At 54.7% G+C, this 18,587-nt stretch overlaps 2 protein-coding genes and 1 long non-coding RNA gene across 5 annotated transcripts, besides 10 other annotated features; 1 reads left to right on the forward strand and 2 right to left on the reverse strand.

Annotated features, from left to right (window-relative positions):
• Positions 1–2,389: 2,389 nt before the first annotated feature.
• LBX2 (ladybird homeobox 2) lies at positions 2,390–8,189 on the reverse strand. 2 transcript variants are annotated; one of them, NM_001009812.2, is made up of 2 exons: positions 7,540–8,189; positions 2,390–3,191 (listed from the first exon to the last, which is right to left on the reverse strand). In NM_001009812.2, exons 1-2 carry the CDS (start codon positions 7,730–7,732, stop codon positions 2,800–2,802), a joined length of 585 nt encoding a protein of 194 aa, NP_001009812.1. In that variant the 5' UTR covers positions 7,733–8,189; the 3' UTR covers positions 2,390–2,799. The 2 variants fall into 2 exon arrangements, with proteins under 2 accessions (NP_001009812.1, NP_001269359.1); NM_001282430.2 differs by lacking the exon at positions 7,540–8,189 and adding an exon at positions 4,206–4,476.
• Positions 2,773–2,822: an enhancer, noted in NCBI's record as "active region_16066". NCBI's record gives its function as "activates an Ori minimal core promoter by ATAC-STARR-seq in GM12878 lymphoblastoid cells {active_cell/tissue: GM12878}" and the evidence as "EXISTENCE:reporter gene assay evidence [ECO:0000049][PMID:35858748]".
• Positions 7,374–7,998: an enhancer, noted in NCBI's record as "H3K27ac-H3K4me1 hESC enhancer chr2:74729628-74730252 (GRCh37/hg19 assembly coordinates)". NCBI's record gives its function as "activates a minimal SCP1, AML or CMV promoter by ChIP-STARR-seq in naive H9 embryonic stem cells {active_cell/tissue: H9 hESC(naive)}" and the evidence as "EXISTENCE:reporter gene assay evidence [ECO:0000049][PMID:30033119]".
• On the forward strand, positions 7,466–9,938 carry LBX2-AS1 (LBX2 antisense RNA 1). Of its 2 annotated transcripts, NR_152616.1 has the most exons (2): positions 7,466–7,825; positions 8,513–9,938. It is a non-coding gene; the product is annotated as an LBX2 antisense RNA 1 (long non-coding RNA). The 2 variants fall into 2 exon arrangements; NR_024606.2 differs by having other exon boundaries at positions 7,466–9,938.
• Positions 7,999–8,624: an enhancer, noted in NCBI's record as "H3K27ac-H3K4me1 hESC enhancer chr2:74730253-74730878 (GRCh37/hg19 assembly coordinates)". NCBI's record gives its function as "activates a minimal SCP1, AML or CMV promoter by ChIP-STARR-seq in naive H9 embryonic stem cells {active_cell/tissue: H9 hESC(naive)}" and the evidence as "EXISTENCE:reporter gene assay evidence [ECO:0000049][PMID:30033119]".
• Positions 8,095–8,389: an enhancer, noted in NCBI's record as "tiled region #184; K562 Activating DNase unmatched - State 1:Tss". NCBI's record gives its function as "activates a minimal TATA promoter and a strong SV40 promoter by Sharpr-MPRA in K562 cells {active_cell/tissue: K562}" and the evidence as "EXISTENCE:reporter gene assay evidence [ECO:0000049][PMID:27701403]".
• Positions 8,296–8,365: an enhancer, noted in NCBI's record as "active region_16067". NCBI's record gives its function as "activates an Ori minimal core promoter by ATAC-STARR-seq in GM12878 lymphoblastoid cells {active_cell/tissue: GM12878}" and the evidence as "EXISTENCE:reporter gene assay evidence [ECO:0000049][PMID:35858748]".
• Positions 9,916–12,568, reverse strand: PCGF1 (polycomb group ring finger 1). The gene is made up of 9 exons (NM_032673.3): positions 12,449–12,568; positions 11,915–12,020; positions 11,605–11,757; positions 11,054–11,125; positions 10,825–10,930; positions 10,610–10,643; positions 10,425–10,511; positions 10,212–10,292; positions 9,916–10,063 (listed from the first exon to the last, which is right to left on the reverse strand). Exons 1-9 carry the CDS (start codon positions 12,539–12,541, stop codon positions 10,016–10,018), a joined length of 780 nt encoding a protein of 259 aa, NP_116062.2. The 5' UTR covers positions 12,542–12,568; the 3' UTR covers positions 9,916–10,015.
• Positions 11,831–12,761: an enhancer, noted in NCBI's record as "H3K27ac-H3K4me1 hESC enhancer chr2:74734085-74735015 (GRCh37/hg19 assembly coordinates)". NCBI's record gives its function as "activates a minimal SCP1, AML or CMV promoter by ChIP-STARR-seq in naive and primed H9 embryonic stem cells {active_cell/tissue: H9 hESC(naive and primed)}" and the evidence as "EXISTENCE:reporter gene assay evidence [ECO:0000049][PMID:30033119]".
• Positions 12,398–12,577: an enhancer, noted in NCBI's record as "active region_16068". NCBI's record gives its function as "activates an Ori minimal core promoter by ATAC-STARR-seq in GM12878 lymphoblastoid cells {active_cell/tissue: GM12878}" and the evidence as "EXISTENCE:reporter gene assay evidence [ECO:0000049][PMID:35858748]".
• Positions 13,318–13,377: an enhancer, noted in NCBI's record as "active region_16069". NCBI's record gives its function as "activates an Ori minimal core promoter by ATAC-STARR-seq in GM12878 lymphoblastoid cells {active_cell/tissue: GM12878}" and the evidence as "EXISTENCE:reporter gene assay evidence [ECO:0000049][PMID:35858748]".
• Positions 17,641–18,309: an enhancer, noted in NCBI's record as "H3K27ac-H3K4me1 hESC enhancer chr2:74739895-74740563 (GRCh37/hg19 assembly coordinates)". NCBI's record gives its function as "activates a minimal SCP1, AML or CMV promoter by ChIP-STARR-seq in primed H9 embryonic stem cells {active_cell/tissue: H9 hESC(primed)}" and the evidence as "EXISTENCE:reporter gene assay evidence [ECO:0000049][PMID:30033119]".
• Positions 18,184–18,243: a silencer, noted in NCBI's record as "silent region_11665". NCBI's record gives its function as "represses an Ori minimal core promoter by ATAC-STARR-seq in GM12878 lymphoblastoid cells {active_cell/tissue: GM12878}" and the evidence as "EXISTENCE:reporter gene assay evidence [ECO:0000049][PMID:35858748]".

The following is an 18,587-nucleotide window of genomic DNA, read 5'->3' on the forward strand; positions in this document are numbered from 1 at the left end:
AAGGGCGGGGCTTAGCGGAGCAGACCTCCATCCAGAGGCCATTTTGGTGGGACAGGTTTGAGTTTTGTTGTCCAAGTCTTCAGTATAAGAGGTGGCAGTGCTAGCTGGGCTAGAATTTGGGAAACCTCAATGGGGAGAGAGGTTATGACTCAGCCAGTTAATTTGACTGGACCCTACCTTCCTAACTAGAAGGATTTGCCCTGAGAGTTCTTTGCTCACCCCTGGTTGGGGAGCAGGATGGGCATAGGTGGTTGTGTTTGTCCAAGGGGTGATTATATTACAGTGGTTCCATAAGAGGCCTGCCCATCTGGCTTTCCTGTTTTTGAGCAGGGACCTGCATGCTTTTGGGATGTCTGTAGGGCTCCTGACCTCTCAAAGGCCACCCACCACTACTCAATGGTATTTTTGCCTTCCAGCTGAGCTGGCTCCTTGTTCTAGCTTCTCAAGTAAATGTTCCCTCCCCAGTACCTTAGCCTGCCCTGGACTTGTAGCTTCTCCAAGAGTCACGTGACTCCTGACACTTTGCCCCATTTTCACCCTCCTAATTAATAGGGGTCTGACCCAACAGCCTGAGTTCTGAGTTCCCAGGACTGGAAAGTAGAGTGACCAACCATCCTGGTTTTCCTGGAACTGAGGGATGTTCTGGAGTGAGGGACTTTCAATGCCAAAACTTGGAAAATGCTGGGCAGATGGGAAAGAGTTGATCACCCTACTGGAAATGTTCCAGAGAGGCAGTATTTAGAAGGGAGTACTGAAGGGGCAATGCAGTTGCAAAGAATTATTTTTTTGCATATGCATAATGGCTGACAGATTCTTAGCTCCACACCAGTGGTCACTGTCTGTTTCCATGTTGCCATTTTTCTTCCAGTTGCCCACATTTGCTAGGTTGTCATTGACTCATGCAATCCTTGATCCCTGGGGCAATCGCAGATTCCTCTTCTGTGACCACCTCCCAGCCCCACCTCAAGTCTGGCCCTGAGTTCTCTCTGCTGTTACCTTTTGCAGTGGCCAGATATATACTCCCTTTTTCAGGTCTCTACCAGTCTCTGATCCAACCTGCGCCCACAGCCAGATTGGCCTACCCTAAACAATGGTCTCTTGTCTCTCTTCTCTAAAACCTCCAGGGACCATGCTCTAAAGTACAATGCCTAAGTCCCTACCTGTGGCCCTTTCTCCTCCCCTTTCTCTGTAAATCCTTTGCTTCTTTCCTTTAGGCTCAGTCACCTTTATAGAGACCAAGAGCATGGGCTCCTGAGTCGGACAAGCAAACAGCTCAGTCCCTGTGCCACCACTTACAAACTGTGACCTGGCCAAGTTTCCTCAGGGTTCTGTAATTCAGTCTCATCCTTAAAATGGAAAGAAAAGTCTCTGTCCTGTTGGGTTATTTTAAGGATTAATACCTGCAAAGCACTTGGAACTGCTTAATAAGTGGTACTGTCTGAAAATGCCAGATTCCCTTCTGCCTTCCAGCCTTGTTCACTTTCCAAGGAATATTCTCTCTTGGGCCCTCCACCTGCAACTAAGGCCCTAGCTGACCCCCGTTGAACCCATGGAACTTCCTTGAAAGTAGGGTTGTCACACTTAGGCAGAGGCAGGAGAAAGTCTGAAGAGAGCCAGAGGACTGACAGGAGAGAAGGGAAGCAGGAAAGACAACTGAGCTTGATCTGAAGATTGGCTGGGACCACTGGGGAGGGGAAGGCCTGCAACTACTGAGCGTTCCCCCTCCTCTCCCCTCACACTGCAGGAGGGTGATTATCACCAGTGGAATAAATGAATGTCAGAAATGTCCACTGGCTGAGTTAGGCTGGAATCCCTACCAGGCAAGGCCACTACTCCAAGCTTCGCCCCAGCAGGCCAAGCCTTTCCACCCTCTGGCTGCTGCCACCATCCTAGTGGTAAAATTTCTGGCCCAGGGGCCTGGCAGAGGTCTTCCAGGTAGGGGTGTGGCCTCTCTGGGCACCCGTCTATTTGCCTGTGTCCCAGCGGAGGGTTCTTTTGGCAGGATGGGGAAAGGGTCAGGAACCCATTAACAGGTGGGGAAACAATGTCATCACTCTGGGGCCAACCTAGGGATTAGAATCAAGGTCTCCCAGGCAGACAGTAGGTGGGCCAAGGCCCCACTGTCTTTCACTCAGGCCCGGTGACTTCCCCTTGGTAGACTGATAAGCATCAGCTCTGAAGGCTGGCTGGATGCTGGGTCCAAAACCTGACCTCAGGGTTCTGACTTTGTAAAAATGGTGTAATTATTACCTACCTTAAAGGGTTGCTATAAGGGCTAAAGGAAACATTGCATTGAAAGCCCTGGCACAGTGCCAAGTGCGGACTCCCCATAGCACTTTACAGATTTTACTGTTTCTTGCTTCTGGCGGGCGTCTGGATAGAGGCATGGTGCGGCAGAGTCTCGACTTTATTCTCAAATATTGGGAAAGTAGCCTGGACAACATAGCGGGACCTCCTCTCTAAAAAAAAAAGTTTTTTAAATTAGCCTGGGGTGGTGCTGCACGCCTGTAATGCCAGCTAGTCGGGAGGTTGAGGCAGGAGGATCGCTTGAGCCCAGGAGGTCGCGACTGCAGTGAGCGGTGATCGCTCCACGGCACTCCAGCCTGGGCGACAGAGCGAGGCCCTGTCTCAGACAACAAAACAAACTTACAAAAAAACCGGGAAAGGTGAGCGTCTGGACTGTGGGCCGGAAGAGGCCCAAGTGGACCTCCTTCCTCCACCCTGGAACTCTGGCCAGAGGCAGAGCGCGAGGTGAGGAGTCCAGGGCCCCAGAGCCCAGGATTGGCGGCGGCTTTGTCTTCAATCGTCCACCTGTATCTCCTCGTCTGACAGGTGGGGCCGGGAGTCAGGGCCGGCAGGGCCGAGGCAGAGGCCGGGATCTGGAGCGCCTTCGGGCAGTGCTAAGCTGCACAGGACTTCCGGGGACAACGCGCGTAGCGAGGCGACGTCGGCGCGCATCTCCTCCACATCGCGCTTGAGCTTGGCTCGCCGGTTCTGGAACCAAGTGACCACCTGCGCGTTGGCCAGGCCGAGTCGCGTAGCTAGCCCGTCTCGCTCGGACGGCGCCAGGTACTTCTGGAAGACGAAGCGCCGCTCCAGCTCCAGCACCTGTTGCGCGGTGAACGCAGTGCGTGACTTGCGCCGTTTGCGGCCGAAGGGACCAGGGCCCAGCGCGTCCGGACCTGCCCGCCCTGTAGGGATAGGGAGGGGGTCAGTTTCCAGCCTCCGGGAATCAGGCTGGGCCTGGAAAGAAAAGTTGGGGGTGGGGTCGGGCCGGTGGCGGTGGGGGAAGTAGAGGGAGAGCCAGGAAGGCGGACGGAGACCAGAACTGTGATCCCTTATCGGGAGTCAGGCCCAGGTGGGGATATGGGGCGCAAAGCGGGCTGGCCACAGGGGTGCGAAAGGCAGCAGGCTGAGGGCATATTGTAGGGGCAAGGAAGTGAAGGAAGGGAGGGATGATTCAGAGGTGCAGGGTCAAACCTTCTGGGGTGGAGCCTTTGAGGCTTTTAGGAGCCTCAGGCTGAGCAGGCTATAAGTTGAGGGTGACATCAGAGGCGAGTAAGAGTCAGGGCAGCCGACCCAGCGTGGTGGTGGTAACAGGACTTAGATCATGCCCTTCCATGGATCGGGTCGGGCATTCGGTTTACAGTTCCTTAGTGACACCAGAGCCCGCTCCTCCGGCCCCAAAGGGAGATAATGAGGTACAGAGAGCGAGAAAAGGCAGAGTGCGGAATCCCGCGCCCAGTGCTGCGCCAAGGGCTTTCTGCTCCTTGACTCCCCTCGAGAAGAGAGTGGCTTGGAGCGGAGCTTGGTCACCCGGAAAGACTCGACTCTCCAGCGCTTTCTGTGCCGCCTTTGCAGGCTCACTCGTTTACCGCCTGCGGCTGAAGCCTTTTGTCTCTTTCTCTCCTGCCTTTCTCTATCGCGATTGCCCCGCCTACAAGGAACAGAGCAACAGGTCGCTCAGTTGGCGACGGTCTGCCCTTTTCCCTTGGCACTGGCGGCCTTCCGGAGCCGCCGCGGAACCTAGGGACTAACGGAGGAGAGGTGAGAAGTCGCAGGTGCGAGTCCTGGCACGTGGGCTGAGGACAGGGGAGGATTAGGGTGGGTGGCCTGGGCTGGGACAAAGGTTTGAGACGGGGAACCAGGAGGAGAGAGGTGAGGAAAAGGCTAAGTCAGAGTCCGCGACCTTGCCGGCTCTATACCTTCAGAGGGCTGCAGAGCGCGCGCGTCAAGTCCGCGGAAAGTTTTACTAGTCAGCTCCTCCAGCGCGCACAGCGGCGACGTTGGACCCGGACCCGACTCTGGAAGCTGCGGCGCAGAGGGTGCTCGGGGGACCATGCGCGGGGCTAGGATGTCTGCGATGCTTAAGAGTGTCCGGGGTGTTCGGGGCTCGCGTCCCGAGTTCATGGTCGGCCGGGCTGGGGCGGTCCGGCTGTCCGTTGCGCTAGGCTCCGCAAACGCCTGGGCCCCAGTGCTCGGCTCCCAATCCGGGCCCCCAGCCTCGGACCCGCCCCCGGCTCTGGGCCCGAGTCCCGTGTGCCCCTCCTCCTGCGCCCCCACCTCTCCACCCCGGGCCGCGGTGGATCTGGAGCTCCTAGATGTCCGGGGAGGGTATTTCTACAGGCTGGGGCAGGCGCGGAGAGCAGAAGCCGACCAAACTACCCACCAGAGCAGGGCCACGGGGCTGCTCCGCGCTGCGGGGCGCTGCACCGTGCACAGTCAGGCCGGGCCATACCTCCAGACGCTGTATGCCGCCGACTCCCCGCCTAGCCGCCGCTCCGGCTCATAAACTAGTAGACGATAAAATTGCCTTCTCTGGCCCCAGCGGCTGGGGATTTGCAAAGTTCTGAGGAAGGCTATCAGGGCTGACTGTGCTGGGATCTCTGATCCCAGCTAGGACCTCAGTCTCCTAACCTGGCTCCCTCTTCCCCACCCCACCCCTGAGAAACGTTGTTTCTGGTCCTGACGGCTGGAAGTGATTAGTGCTGCATGGGTCGGGGGCGCAACACTTGGGAGGACCTGGCCTGGCGGAGCGACTGCAACTGGGAATAGTGGGGATGCCACGAAGAAGCAAGCACAGGTGAATGGACCCGAGGCTGCCCCACCTGACGAAATCAGAACACACAGAGAAGCTGCCGGGAGACCCGGGCCGCAGGAGAGAAGACCCAGGGAACTCCCAGCTGGTGCAACTGCCCAGGAGGGGTCTTTGTCAGTGAGGACTGGCAAAATCAGTCGATTTTGTCTGTCTTTATCTTCTTTTTATTAAGCTCCCATAGTTCAGGTATGTATGGTTTCCCCAGCCTGCAGAGGCTCAGAAACTGCCAAGGGGAGCAAGGTGCCCTGACCAGAGAGGGGTCACTCCCCATAGAAGAGAGACTTGAAGGGCAGACTTCACGGACCCAGCTGGATCTTGGGACATTCCTGACAACCCAGGTACTAACTGTGAGGCCTGGTATACTCATTCCTATTTAATCTGGGCCCTTTTTATCTGCCACACTTATTCTGGTTCTGGGCTCATACCTGGGTAAGCACCCACAGCCCTCCTTTGTAGGAAGAAGGCAGCTCAGGGACAGTGGGGCCTCAGCAGTTGAGGCCCAGCAGGGTATGGGTTTTGTTCCTACATTCCACCCCAAACAGCTGGAGGATTCACACCTTAGAGCAGGGAAGCCCTGCCACTCCTGAGGAGCTTGCTGCTTTGCTGCCCAGGGAAGTCAGAAACTGATGTGCTTCTAGCTTTTTAAAACAGTGTCAGGAAAAACCAGGCCAGTCCCTCCTGGACTGTCCATTATGTCACTTTCCTTGTAGACCCCTGCATCTCCCACCATCTGTGCAGTGTCCACCTGTCTATTCCCTGGGGCAACTGCTGCATGCAATTGGGGTTCCCTAAACAGGGCTTAGGAGATCCAAGGCACCTGGGCCAAAGACTCCTTGACAAAGATGGGAAGGCACCTTGATAGGGTCTTCTTGGTAAAGGGCTCACTCCAACAACCCCCCTCCCCCACCCGCAACATTCACATAATGCCCTCCTGGAAAGCTGAGCAACACACTTAAAGGCTGATGGGCCACTGCTGGATCAAAGAGCAGAGCCAGGCCATGGTGGAAAGCTGAGCTGCCTCAGGACGTTGTTAAATGGTTATTAATGGTGAGGGGCAGGGGAGGGCCTGGAGAGATCTTCGGGCTACAGGCCTCAGCCCTGGAAACCATCCTAGTGGTTTCACTTAATGTGCAATAAAGCAGCTCTCTGGAGGCAGCAGGAACTGCCCCACTGCATCCCAGGCATATCACCAAGCAGATGCTGCAACCTTCACTCATGCATCCTCTATGTGGCTTTTGTGTCTGTCTCTACCTCTGCTCTCAATTACTTACGTGTGTCTGTGAGGAGTGTGGAGCTCTGCTGATGGGCCTGTGCCTCACAGCCCCTTCCATCTCTCCCGCCTAGTTCTCCCCTCTGCAGCTGGGCTCAGGTACTGGGATTGGACAGCTCCTAAACATGAGTTTGGGGGAGGAGATGGAAGTGGAGAGTAGCAAAGGGAGGAGGCCCAGGACAGCAGAGGCCCCTCTAAGGTCGTCAAAGCGGCCAGGGACTAGTCCAGGGGATCGTGGGGCCACAGAAGGGGACTTTTCTCAGTACTGGAACTCGAGCTGGGGCGAAATCGGATCCACAGAGAGGGGTAGGAGGGTGAGTGATTAATGAGGAAGATTAAGAGATTAAAACTTGTTCTGGGTTGGGGAGGGGACACTCACTCGGCTGTCCTATAGGTTACCCCCCACCCCAGCTTGGAAGCACAGAAGCTCCTGGGTGCTCGCCTCTTCCCACCCGCGGGTAGAACCCTCCCTGTTCACGATCCTTCTCAAGAGATGCACGGAGGCCAGCCTTCACCGCTGGCCCCGCGGGGCCAACGGTTTTCCTTTTCAGGCAGTCTCTTGTGTTTCCCACCTTCTCAGATTCCTTTGATTGTCCATTCAGACATTTCGGGGCCCTGCGCTCCCTCCCCTTGTAGAGATCCCCACATTCCAAATTCGCTGTCTTGGGAAGGCACCCCATTCCCGCTTAAGGATGCTTCCTCACACCTCCCCTTTCAGATTTCCCATTCTCACCCCTCAGCCCTACCCCCACCTTATCTTGCACCCACACACCCCATCGGCGGGTTCCTCCACCCCGGGCCGCCCCCGCTCGACCCCGTTCCCCACTGGTGGCACGGAGGCCTGCTCAATAAACGACCTTTAGTCTCGGATTGCCGGCCCGGACATTCCACTGAATTCTGTGAATGTGTAGCAGGGTTGGAGGACCCTCGGAATAACCCCCTTGGGGAGGTGGACAAGGACAATCTCAGCGAAGAGCTTGCTCCCCTCCTCCCCACCCTTAGGAAACGTCCGTGAACCGGAGTGAGAGGGCAGTGGGAGTTCAGGGAGCAAAGTCCAGGCGGAGGAGCGTGAGGCGGGGCTTCCGTCCGTCCCGCACACTTCTGGGATTGTTTTCTCTTTCAGAAAGCGCTACTGCGGAGTGAACCGGTCCTTATATCTTAGTTTCGTGACTTTGGGGGCGGCAGGCCTGTGAGTTGTTTTCCGCCCTGGACGCTGTTTTGCAAAGATCTCTGCGCGCCCACCGCCACCCTCCCGGGCGTGCGGGCCGGGAAGCAGCCAGCGGTGGGAAACTCCGACGCCCTCCTCGACACTTTTCTCCCCCCAACTCCCCAAGACTCACTTCTAGGGAAGTCCTTTTTCCCATCAAGCCCTGGGAAAGACTGGCCAGGCTGAGAGAGGGACCCGTCCTCCTCTGTGCCAAAGGCGGGAGCAAATCCTGGTGCTGTCGCCTTTGGATGTGAGTCCTGGAAATGGCGGGGGTGAGGAAGGTGGGCAGGGGCAAGGTTTGGCCCTCAGGCGAGAACCGACGCCTTGTCCCGGAAGCGCAGCACGGCCGAGTGCGTCCGGGGGTGCAGACGGCGCCCTGGGGTGGTCCTGCCGCCACCTCTCCTTTGACTCAGGAGCGCCGCGCCGCGTCCGGGCGCGTTCTCAGTCGCGCGAAGCCAGAGAGGACCCTGGGCGTGATTCTCCCTCCCTGGCACAGACGGAGACCCGAGTGACCCCGGGGTCCGGGTGGGCGTGGGGAATGGACCCATAGACCCGGGACGAGCGGCGCGGAGCCCGCAGCTGGCCAGCTTCAGCCACCTTGGGAGACGCAGTGCAGCTGCCGCTGCTGACAGACAAGACCAAGGCTCGGCTGGGCCCCACCCCAGATCCGGCCTGAGCGCCTTCCGCGCTGCTCGGCCTCAAGGCGTGAGTCACCAAGGGCAAGTCCCGTGACTTGGTCCTCAGGGTCTCCGGCCTCGGCACATTAATCTTCAGACCCGGCTTTTTCGACGCCGAGCTGCCGCCCAGCCCCAATGGCAGGGCCTTCCAGGGAGTCCCAGTCAGACTGCTCCCCAGCTCCCGCAGCTGCTCGGTCCCTGCAAAGCCCCCGGGAGCGTTTCTACTCTCCCCTGAGCCCACGCCATCCCGTCACTCCTAGGAAACTTTTCGCGCAGAAACTCCTGGAGAACAGCCCCGGCCGCCAGGTACTCGCCCGCCCGGACCGCAAAGCCCACAGAGCTTCAATTCGCAGGAAGGGGAGTGGGGAGCCCTGAGCTGGGGTGTTCCTGGAAGAGGTCGGGGAGCGGGGGGAGAGGCATTCCAGGCTGGAGGCCTGGAAACGTTTGGAAGCTTTGCTAACCTTGGAGACCATGTCAGGAAAGAAGCGTACCCAGGCCGTCTGCTGTGTGCCCACCCCGATCCCCATCAGTGCCCCACGCACTCGAGCTCTTCTTCGGCGTCTGCAGCCTCTTCATCCGCGCGGAGAGGCGGAGGTCTCCCGGAAACAGTGTCCGACTGTGGCACCCCAGAGCGTCCAATGCGAGCTCAGGCCTTTCCCGCAAGTCTGGAGTTTTCTTATCCAGTTGAGGCCGCCTTCGCTGTACTCACTCTCTGCCTCCCACCCCATCTTCTGCCACCCGACCTCCATCTTTGATGGTTAGCGCCTTCAGCCCTCAACAGCTTCGCACAACCAACCCCTAGAAGCCGTGGAGTCAGACCGGCCAGGGTGGGACCTAGGTTTTAACTCGGGTTCTGGCTACACACGCTGCGCCTCCATACAGTTTGTCCCAGGTTTGGCAGCAGGCCGGCTACCTTCAGGAATTCTTTGCTTTGGCTTCTGTCTGTTCCTGTCTGTTGGGCAAGTTTCTAGCTACCCCACTGAGAGAACCATAGAACAAGGACCCTGGCATGGCATACAGACAAGGAATGTTTGCTGAATTAATGGAGCTGGTGCCTTGCAGCTTCCCTTTTGTTCCTTGAAGTTGCCCTTGCTCTCCTCCACATCAGCTCCCTCTCCTCCTCAGCTACTTATTCCCCACCCTGGCTTCTTCTAGTCGCAGTCCCCAAGTACTTGCTGAATCCTGTATGGACAGCCTAAGCCTCCATTTCTGACAATTCCTGTGGCCCCACTCCATTTGTTTTTTAGACTTCTCCCTCCTTTTTGTCCCCATCCCCCAAGTTATAAAACTATAATGCAATTCTTTGGATTTTTCTTTAAAAAATCACACTTGTTCAATCCTGCAGCAGCCACTGTCCAACTCTAGCCTTCTCACCACCGCTGAATTAGGAAACCTCCTAAGAGGCCCGCACCCGCACTGTATGCTGCAGCATACAAAGACAGCTGAGAGCTCCCCTCCAGGAAACCTTCCCATCACCAAAAAGAGTGGTGTGGGAGGCCTGGTTTCACACATATAGGGATCCTCTACCCTTCTCCTTTGGCAAGACATTGAGGGCCCATGGCCATAGAGGACAGGCCCTTCTTCACAATGAAACTCAGAGGATTTTTGAAGAAGGCAGGACACAGCATGAGTGTGAGGCAGGAAGAATAAGGCAGAAGAGAGGTGCTTTTTAAAAGTTTTTATTTCAAAAAATAAAGCTGCAGTTCATTTCACATAAATATCTGGGGAGGGAAGGGGAGTGGGATGGGGTGGGGGCTTGGCCCCTACCTCCTCTTCTCTTTCACACTGTATTGTAAAAGCAAAGGGGATGGCTAAGGAGAGAATGAGGAAGTAGTAGTCAGTGGGGAATGTTCTTATATTATTCAAAGGGCCCCTCAGCCCACCCTTCCCCTGAGGACTGTAGGATGGTTGGGGGGAGTCTGAAGGGGGTGTGATCCCAGGGAGGGTGGCCTGGCTTACCTTGCCGAACCAGCGGGAGAGCCATATCTGCTTCATTGTCATGTGATCAGGGAGAACTTCATTGTCAAAAAGGAGCTGCACCTAGGAGGGAGATGGGGGCATAATTTTAGGAACTTTCTGGCAGGTCAAAAACTACCCTGGTCCACCCTAGACTCTGTCCCTCCTTTCTTAGCCCCTTCTCCCCCTCAAGAAACCTACTGTGGGACTACTCACATGCTGAGGGTTTAGCATCAAGCGGTGACACAGGACCCTCCGGAGATGGCGTACCTCAGCTCTAACAGAACATCGGACATACTTGTTCTGGGAGCAGGGAGGGGAGGGAAGAGGGCAAGGTGTGTGAGGGAAGGACCATGGGAGGTGAGTCTCCTTAGAGAGGCCCTCCCCTCAGCCCTTCTCACCTGCAGGACGCTTTTATTCTTGTCTTTGCCAGAACTGGGGGGAAATAGACACAGGTTAGGGAATCCTATCTTTCCTCCTCTTCCCCACCCAGAGCCATGATATACTCTCTTCAAGGGGATAGGCACTCACTCACTGCTCAGCCTCTCCCCTAGACCCTCCCTGGCTCTGGGTCATTGGCACTGTCACCTCCTGCAACCCCTGACCTTCTCCTCACCTCAGCCGCTCCAGGCACAGGTTCAACTGCTCATCATAGCGATAGTAGTGGGCTTTAGAGTGGTCAAAGCTGCTGAAGGGGAGGCCGAGGTTGCTCAGTGCTGGCTCTGAGAAAGATAGGGTAGTGAGGTGGCTGGTGGCACACATTCCATACTCCTCTTTCCCCAGAGAGCAAAACTGGGCAAGAAGAATGCTCTGGGGTCTTTACTGTCCCGCGGCCAAGGACATACCTTCCCCAGTGGGCTGGGTGACCCGGTCCAAACCTCGGGACTGGTAGAATTCCCGAATCCGTTTCTCTTCACCTAGAAGAAGGTGAAGTATGAGAATAAAGTATTAGCCCTTCGGGGCCGGGCGCGGTGGCTCACGCCTGTAATCCCAGCACTTTGGGAGGCAGAGGTGGGCAGATCATGAAGTCAGGAGATTGAGGCCATCCTGGCTAACATGGTGAAACCCCGTCTCTACTAAAAAATATAAAAAATTAGCTGGGCATGGTGGTGGGCGCCTGTAGTCCCAGCTACTCAGGAGGCTGAGGCAGGAGAATGGCATGAATCCAGGAGGTGGAGCTTGCAGTGAGCTGAGATTGCGCCACTGCACTCCAGCCTGGGCAAGACTCCGTCTCAAAAAAAGAAAAAAAAGAATAAAGTATTAGCCCTTCCTCACTTTTTGTCCTTCCCTCATCTTTGGCCTTCTGCCTACGTGAGTCCTACCAAACCCGTCACCTCAAGCTGCCACTCAGCAATTAGTCCTCAAGAGGCCCCTCAAAGTCAGGTTGGTGACTCACTGTCTTGCAAGCCAGGCACCAGCTTATACACGATGTCCTGCATGACCCGGTCCAGTTTGAGGTTGAGCAGTGGCTGTGTCTCGTGGATCTTAATGTTGCACATGGGGCAGTACTTGCTAGTTTGGAGGTACTTCACAATACAACTCTTGCAGACTGCAGGAAAAGAAAAGCAGATTCTCAGGCCCTCTGGAAACTGGATTCATGGGCTGGGTGGGGTGCCTGGATGCGTGAGGCAGGCCGCACAGAAGCTGGCAGTCAGCTTGGTGAAGACTAGGGACTGGAAGAACTAGGCAGTCTCCAAGGCACTCACAAGTATGAAGACACTCTGTGATGGTGGTGGCATCCACGAAGTAGCCGGCGCATAGGCAGCAAACAATGTGTTCATTCAAGTCTTTGATCTTCACTCGAACCTCCTCCTGAAGATACACCCTCCGTCACCAATCATCCACCCTCAAACCCCAACCCGTGCGCCTTCCCACCTTGGGGGTCGCCTCCTTCATCACACTAGACGGCCAAGCCCCGCGCCCTGCGCCATCAGCCGGGGATTAGCTCCTGGGGGCTGGCACTCCCCCTCCGCCCAGCAGAGGGCTCCGCGCACAGCGGGGGCTTCCCTCACGTGGACTCGCCTGACCCTCCTTTCCCAGGGGAGACTACACAACGTCGGCGACACAACGCGCAGGCGTCCTAACCGGAGTTTGGCAACCCGATCGCAACCACGCAGGCGCACTGGGCACTCTGTCTCTGCGCAGGCGCACTGGGCGCCCGGCCAGCCACCGCCCGTCCTTTAGCCCGCCCCAATTCGCACCGCTGGCCGACCACAGCAGTAACCCTGCCGCCCTTGCACCTCGTTCCGTAGCGGGTCCATCTTGTACACTGACTGGAGCTGGTTCCGAAGCCTCATCGCGATCGCAATCTGGCCCCCCTGAGGAGACGCCATCTTAAAGGCTGATCCCAGCCGGCCACTTCCGGTGCCGCCTGCAGGGCGGGACTTGTCTCCCAGCAACGAGGTTCTAGGTCTTTTCGGATTCGCTCACCCTCTGTAAGGCCCCGCCCACGTCCCTTTCTCCCTGTGTGCTCACCTGAGCCCCACCGGCCCCTCCCCTGCTCAATCCGTAATTAAGGAGTGGGGGGGGGGGAGCACAGGGAAGGGTCTTATCTCTTCAACCTCCTGTAGAAATCATCATAATAGGCCCTACGCGACCTCAAGACTAACTTTCGGAGCCTGCGAAAGACTGCCCCCTCCTACCCCCAAAGGCCTGGCAGTCTGTGCCCGCTACCCGCTCAGGGTCGTCGGTCTTCTGTGACGACGACCCTGCTGAAGAAGCCCCTCCTGGGTCCTCTCCTCGTAATGCCGCCCTGTCGGCGTCCGCGTAGCGGAGCTTCGTCCAGATGGCGGGTCTTCTCCCGGCTTCACGGAGGGAGTTTCTTGGGCTTTGCAGAGTCTCGGAGAGGGTGCCGGGGGATGGGGAGTGAGAGACCCCCAGGGACTTGGTAGTGATCTTATTCCCCCATTCTCCCCCCTGCTGCCGGGGATGGGGGGGGCAGGCCCTGGTTAATGATGATGATTTAATCATCGGCGCCTGCGGAGGCCTGGGACAGACTAATGCAGAGCAGATGCCGAAGGAGGAGGGGAGGACGACTAGGACACTGCCACACACAGACAGGCTTAGGCAGCGAGCGCCTGTAGTAGCATAGGCCCAGTCCCGCACTTGGGGACTACGCGGGGTGCTCGCTCGAGAGCTCTACACCGCCGGCTCTGGGTACTTAAAAAGGGATAAATTTGCTATGAGGTATTAACATCAAATGCAACTGGAGATACGAGAAGGGAGAGATTCCAATGGAGACCTCAAAAAAGGCTTTCTGGAGAAAGTGGGACTTTGGGCACAATTTAGACTTGGGGGAGGGGGTGGAAGTGTGGTGAAATAGAAAGGACGTGGAGGGGAATGACCAGAGGACAGGAAGGTCAAGATGTAGATTTGAGAGTGGTAATAGAAAAAGCAGGGCCATAAAGAGTTGCGATTTTTAGCCTGAGGGCAATTGGGAGCTAGCGGACTTTTTTGAAGGGAGGTTATCCTGTGAAAGCGACATTTTTGTTCATTTCTCTTCAGAGTGAATTGAAGTGAATATGCAGCAAGAAGTTATGAGATTAGTGATTAATCAATTATTCGTTACAGCCCCTGTTTACCTACTTCCCTGGTCCGAGCCACTATCATCTGTCCTCTGTAGTGGCCTCTTGACTGTTTTCCTTGAGTCCCCCTTCGCCTGTTCTCAACATCACAGTTGAGTGCTGTTTCTCAGAGCTAGTGATTCTGATAAAACATGAAACACAAAGGACAAAGGACAATTTTTGAGATGTGGATATGTTTATTATTTTTATGGTGATGATGGTATCATGGGTATATACATATGTCAAAACTTATCAAATTGTACACTTCAAATATTTGCAGTTTATATGTCCATTATACTTCAAGAAAGCTATTAAAAATAAAGTTGAAAAATTAGGTTGTTCCTTTTTTACGTTTAAAACCTGTTGAGAGCTTCCCTTTTCAATCAGAATGAAAGTCAAAGTCTCAGAGTGGTGTGCAAGGGCCTGCATAGTCTCTTCAGATACACCAGGATATCCTTCCACTGTGTCCCCAACTTGAAATGCTTAGGTATCCAAAATGGCTCCCTCCTTCTTTCAGGTCTTTACTCATGAGGCTGCTGTAATCACTCTAGATGAATAACAACTCACCCACCCTTTCACTTCCTTGCTCTTTTTTTTCTGGTTAGCACTTATTAGCATTCTATCATTTATTATTATTTAATATACATTTCTAATATATATTATATTTTCTAGTTATTTTCAGAAAATATTTTCTAGAAAACATATTTCCTAGTTTTTCATCTGCCTTTTCCACTAGACTATAAGCTTCTCAGTGGCAAGGATTTTTTTTCCTCTGTTGTGTTCACAGATATAGCTCCAGTGCCAGGTGCATAGTTGGTGTTCAATAAAACTTTTCTGGATGAATACATGAATGAATCCAAGTGGTGGTGATGACAGCCTCGATTAGGGTTTTAGCAATGGCAATGGAAAGGAAGGGCTGTATCTGAAACAGTTCAAAGGAAAGTATAATAGGAGGAAGTAGCCAGGAACCTGGCTTGGTAGGCCTGGGTAAGAGGGTGAATGAAGAGCTTTGGAGGGAAGCATGTCCTCCAGCCTGCTGGACTTAAGGTGGCTGCAGGGAAGCAGGGGGAGCTTGTCAGAAGGCTAGGAGAGTGAGCGGTGGGGCTGGAGTGTCAGAACAAGGGATGGAGGTCTCAGAGTTATCTGGCTGGATATGAGAGTTGGGACTTTTGGAATGGGTGAAACTTGAGCAGATGAAGAGATAAAGAAAGCTTAAGGCCTGGTGCAGTGGCTAATGCCTGTAATTCCAGCACTTTGGGAGGCTGAGGCAGGTGGATACTTGAGCCCAGGAGTTGGAGACCAGCCTGGGCAACATGGTGGGACTCCGTCACTACAAAAAGTACAAAAATTAGCCTGGCATGGTGGCGCATACCTGTAGTCCCAGCTACTTGGGAGGCTGAGTTAGGAAGATTGCTCGAGCCTGGGAGGTTGAGGCAGCAGTGAACCGTGATAATGCTACTGCACTCCAGCCTGAGCGACAGAGTGAGATCCCATGTCTTAAAAAAAAAAAAAAAAGAAAAGAAAAAAGAAAGCTTAAGTCTGAGCTCTGAAGAATCCTCACAGTCTTCAGTGGAAGAAGGAAAATCAGTGGAGGAAAAACATAAGCAGTGACTACGAAAGTCCAAAGATGTGGAATAAGATATTACAGAAGCAAAAAGAAGGGACACTTCAAAAAATAATTGATGACCAACAAAGTAAAACATGCCAGGGAAGTCCTGGAGGAGGGATACTGAACACTGGAGCTCTCTGAGAAAGGGTTACTATAATGAAGGCAGCTTGCACTGAGTTAAAACAAGAATAAATCATGATGAAATGGAGGCAGTAGGCATGAAGTAAAAAGGAAAGGAAAAGCATGATCTCTCTTGAAGACTCAGGCAAAGATTTTGTCCAGATGATAAAGATCTGAGACAGCTGAGGGGTAGGAAAGACTAAGTTGATGAGAGCCACGGACACACAGGACATGGTGAGACAGATCCAAAGCAGTGTGTATGAGGGGGCACTCATTCCAGCACCTCTATCTTCGTCTTTTTTTTTTTTTTTTTTTTTTGAGATGGAGTCTCGCTTTGTCACCCAGGCTAGAGTGCAGTGGCGCGATCTCGGCTCACTGCCAGCTCCGCCTCCCGGGTTCACGCCATTCTCCTGCCTCAGCATCCCGAGTAGCTGGGACTACGGGTGCCCGCCACCAAGCCCGGCTAATTTTTTGTAGTTTTAGTAGACACGGGGTTTCACCGTGTCAGCCAGGATGGTCTCAATCTGCTGACCTCGTGATCCACCCACCTAGGCCTCCCAAAGTGCTAGGATTACAGGCATGAGCCACCGCGCCTAGCCAATCTTGAATATAAACCAGCAGGAACCATCCTTTCCCCGTGAATCAGAGACAAGGAGGCAAGAAAGGACATTTCAAGCCAGGTTGGGGTGGTGGTGCACACCTGTAACTCTAGATACTCAGGGGGTCAAAGTGGGAGGATTGTCTGAGCCCAGGAGTTTGAGGCCAGCCAGCCAGCCTGGGCATCATAGCGAGACTCTGTCTCTTAAAAAAAGAGAAAGTCCTAGGACTGTGGTCTGGGTGACGTAACTGGATGCCATCTGTTCTTGAAGTGGGGCACTAAAATATTTTAAAAACTCTCCAGAACACTTGTATGAACTACTGAGTTTGTGACCATTCTCCTTAAAGGATTAGTTGGACAGTCCCTGGGTGGCAGTACCATCTGTGCTGAACTCAAACGGCAGGGGTGTACGGGTCTGCATGATGTTGCCTTTTTTTCATTTGTTGATTCACTCACTGATTCATTCAAGGAGGATTTATTTAGGTTGGCTGGAGACACACTGGTTACCCTGCCCCCCTGCCCCCAGACTCAACCTTCAGAGCAGAGAATGGGACTAGCAAACTCCTAACCTGCACACCAGCCCTCTTCAGAGATTATATTTCTTTGCTGTCTCCCTAGGTTTCCTGCTCCCATCTGGAGGAATCCAGCCCTTGGTACCAAGGAAGTTTTTTTTGTTGTTGTTTGTTTGTTTGTTTTTTTTGAGATGGAGTCTTGCTCTGTTTCCCCAGACTGGAATGCAGTGGTGATCTCCGCTCACTGAAACCTCTGCCTCCCTGGTTCAAGTGATTCTCCTGCCTCAGCCTCCCCAGTAGCTGAGATTACAGGCACCTGCCAACATGCCCAGCTAATTTTTTTGTATTTTTAATAGAGACGGGGTTTCACCATGTTGGCCAGGCTGGTCTTGAACTCCTGACATCAGGTGATCCGTCCCCTCTTGGCATTCCAAAGTGGTGGGATTACAGGCATGAGCCACTGCTCCCGGCCTGAAGATTTGGACTAAACAGGTTCATGCTTCCTTGTAGCCCTCTCTACTGCTGAGAAAAGTGCATGGGTTTCTGTAAAGAGACGGGAGGTGATAATGTCTGTCTTCTCCATCAAGATGAAAATACATCTGCTAAATTGGTAGGAGCCCCCACCCTCTTTCAGAACGGGCTGTTAGCAGGGCTGAGGAGGGGCTGGACAAATTGGATAGTAGAGTGGTCAAGGTGGGGGAGGTTGACACTTTTTTTTTTTTTTCAGACAGAGTCTTGCTGTGTTGCCCAGGCTGGAGTGCAGTGGCGCGATCTCGGCTCACTGCAAGCTCCACCTCCCGGGTTCATGCCATTCTCCTGCCTCAGCCTCCCAAGTAGCTGGGACTACAGGCACCCGCCACCACGCCCAGCTAATTTTTGTATTTTTAGTAGAGATGGGTTTCACCGTGTTAGCCAGGATGGTCTCAATCTCCTGACCTCGTGATCCACCCGCCTCGGCCTCCCAAAGTGCTGGTATTACAGGCGTGAGCCACCGCGCCTGGCAGGTTGACACATATTAATGCCCACTATTCCTCCCACTGCCCTCTGTCCCATTTATGGTTCACCTCCTCTAGATATAAGGCTTCAGAGAACACTGAAGGGCTGGTGGACAGAGCTCACCCTTCTTTCTCTTCTTTATCTTTCTGCCCAGATGCCCAAATATCATTCCTGGTTCCCAGGGGAGAAAAGACCCCTTCACCCTGCCCCAGGCGCCAGGCTGCCAGCCCATCTGCTGGGGAGAAAGGAGGGGGCAGAGTCTTTCCCAGGGGATCCTGGAGAATCAGTTTGAAGATCAGTGCTCCCAGGGAGATCCAGCTAGTAGACTTACAAAGCATTTCGGTTCACACGGGAACCAGCAGGATGGAGCTGAACAGCGGGGTGGGCTCGGGACGAGGGTAGAGGGCTGGCACAGCAGGGTAAGGTCCTTTGGCCACCACGTGTCAGAGGTAGGCTGAGCTGCTCGTTGGTGCCCACCCGCCACCGCCACCGCAGGATGGTAGAAGCGCCCCCCTCTCTGAGCCCAGTCTCACCGGCTCAGAGGCGCCAGGGCCCCCCCGGGGGCCGGGGCGGGCCGGGGAAGGTAATGTAATTCCGGCCCAGCTAACCCGATTACCGCGGCCTGCACCGGGCAGGGCGGCGGCGGGGGCGGGTCTAAGGCTCAGGGGCCCGCCCGCGGGGGTCCCATCCCCGGGAAGGACGCAGAGTTCACGCACTCCCGGCTCCTGGATTCATGGCCAGAGGTCACAAGGTCACCAAGCGGCTTAGGTCTTTCCCCACCTCCCTTCTCTGACAGCTCCAGGCCATTTTTTGAGTTTGGGTGGGGTAAAATGTTTATGGGAAACAAGGCGGCCAGGATCCAACCAAGGCCTCAGTGAGGTCCCACGTGTCCCCCGTGGCGAGATTTCGCCCTCCCGCCGTTGAGGAGGAAGAGTGTGAGAACAGACTTCCTAGGCACAGAATGGAGGGGCAGAGTCCTGC

The sequence above is a fragment of the Homo sapiens genome, chromosome 2, assembly GCF_000001405.40.
Source record: "Homo sapiens chromosome 2, GRCh38.p14 Primary Assembly".
NCBI classification, from domain to species: domain Eukaryota; kingdom Metazoa; phylum Chordata; class Mammalia; order Primates; family Hominidae; genus Homo; species Homo sapiens.

What these genes read in the sequence shown, in the direction of transcription:
- LBX2 (NM_001282430.2), bottom strand. Translation starts at nt 4,410, where the DNA reads ATGAACTCGGGACGCGAGCCCCGAACACCCCGGACACTCTTAAGCATC. An exon ending in CGCTCTGCAGCCCTCTGAAG is followed by an intron (nt 3,192 to 4,205) that starts GTATAGAGCCGG and finishes CTATCCCTACAG; the next exon opens with GGCGGGCAGGTCCGGACGCG.
- PCGF1 (NM_032673.3), bottom strand. Translation starts at nt 12,541, where the DNA reads ATGGCGTCTCCTCAGGGGGGCCAGATTGCGATCGCGATGAGGCTTCGG. An exon ending in CTGTGCCTGGAGCGGCTGAG is followed by an intron (nt 10,644 to 10,824) that starts GTGAGGAGAAGG and finishes ATTTCCCCCCAG; the next exon opens with TTCTGGCAAAGACAAGAATA. An exon ending in TCTCCCGCTGGTTCGGCAAG is followed by an intron (nt 10,064 to 10,211) that starts GTAAGCCAGGCC and finishes TTCTCTCCTTAG; the next exon opens with CCATCCCCTTTGCTTTTACA.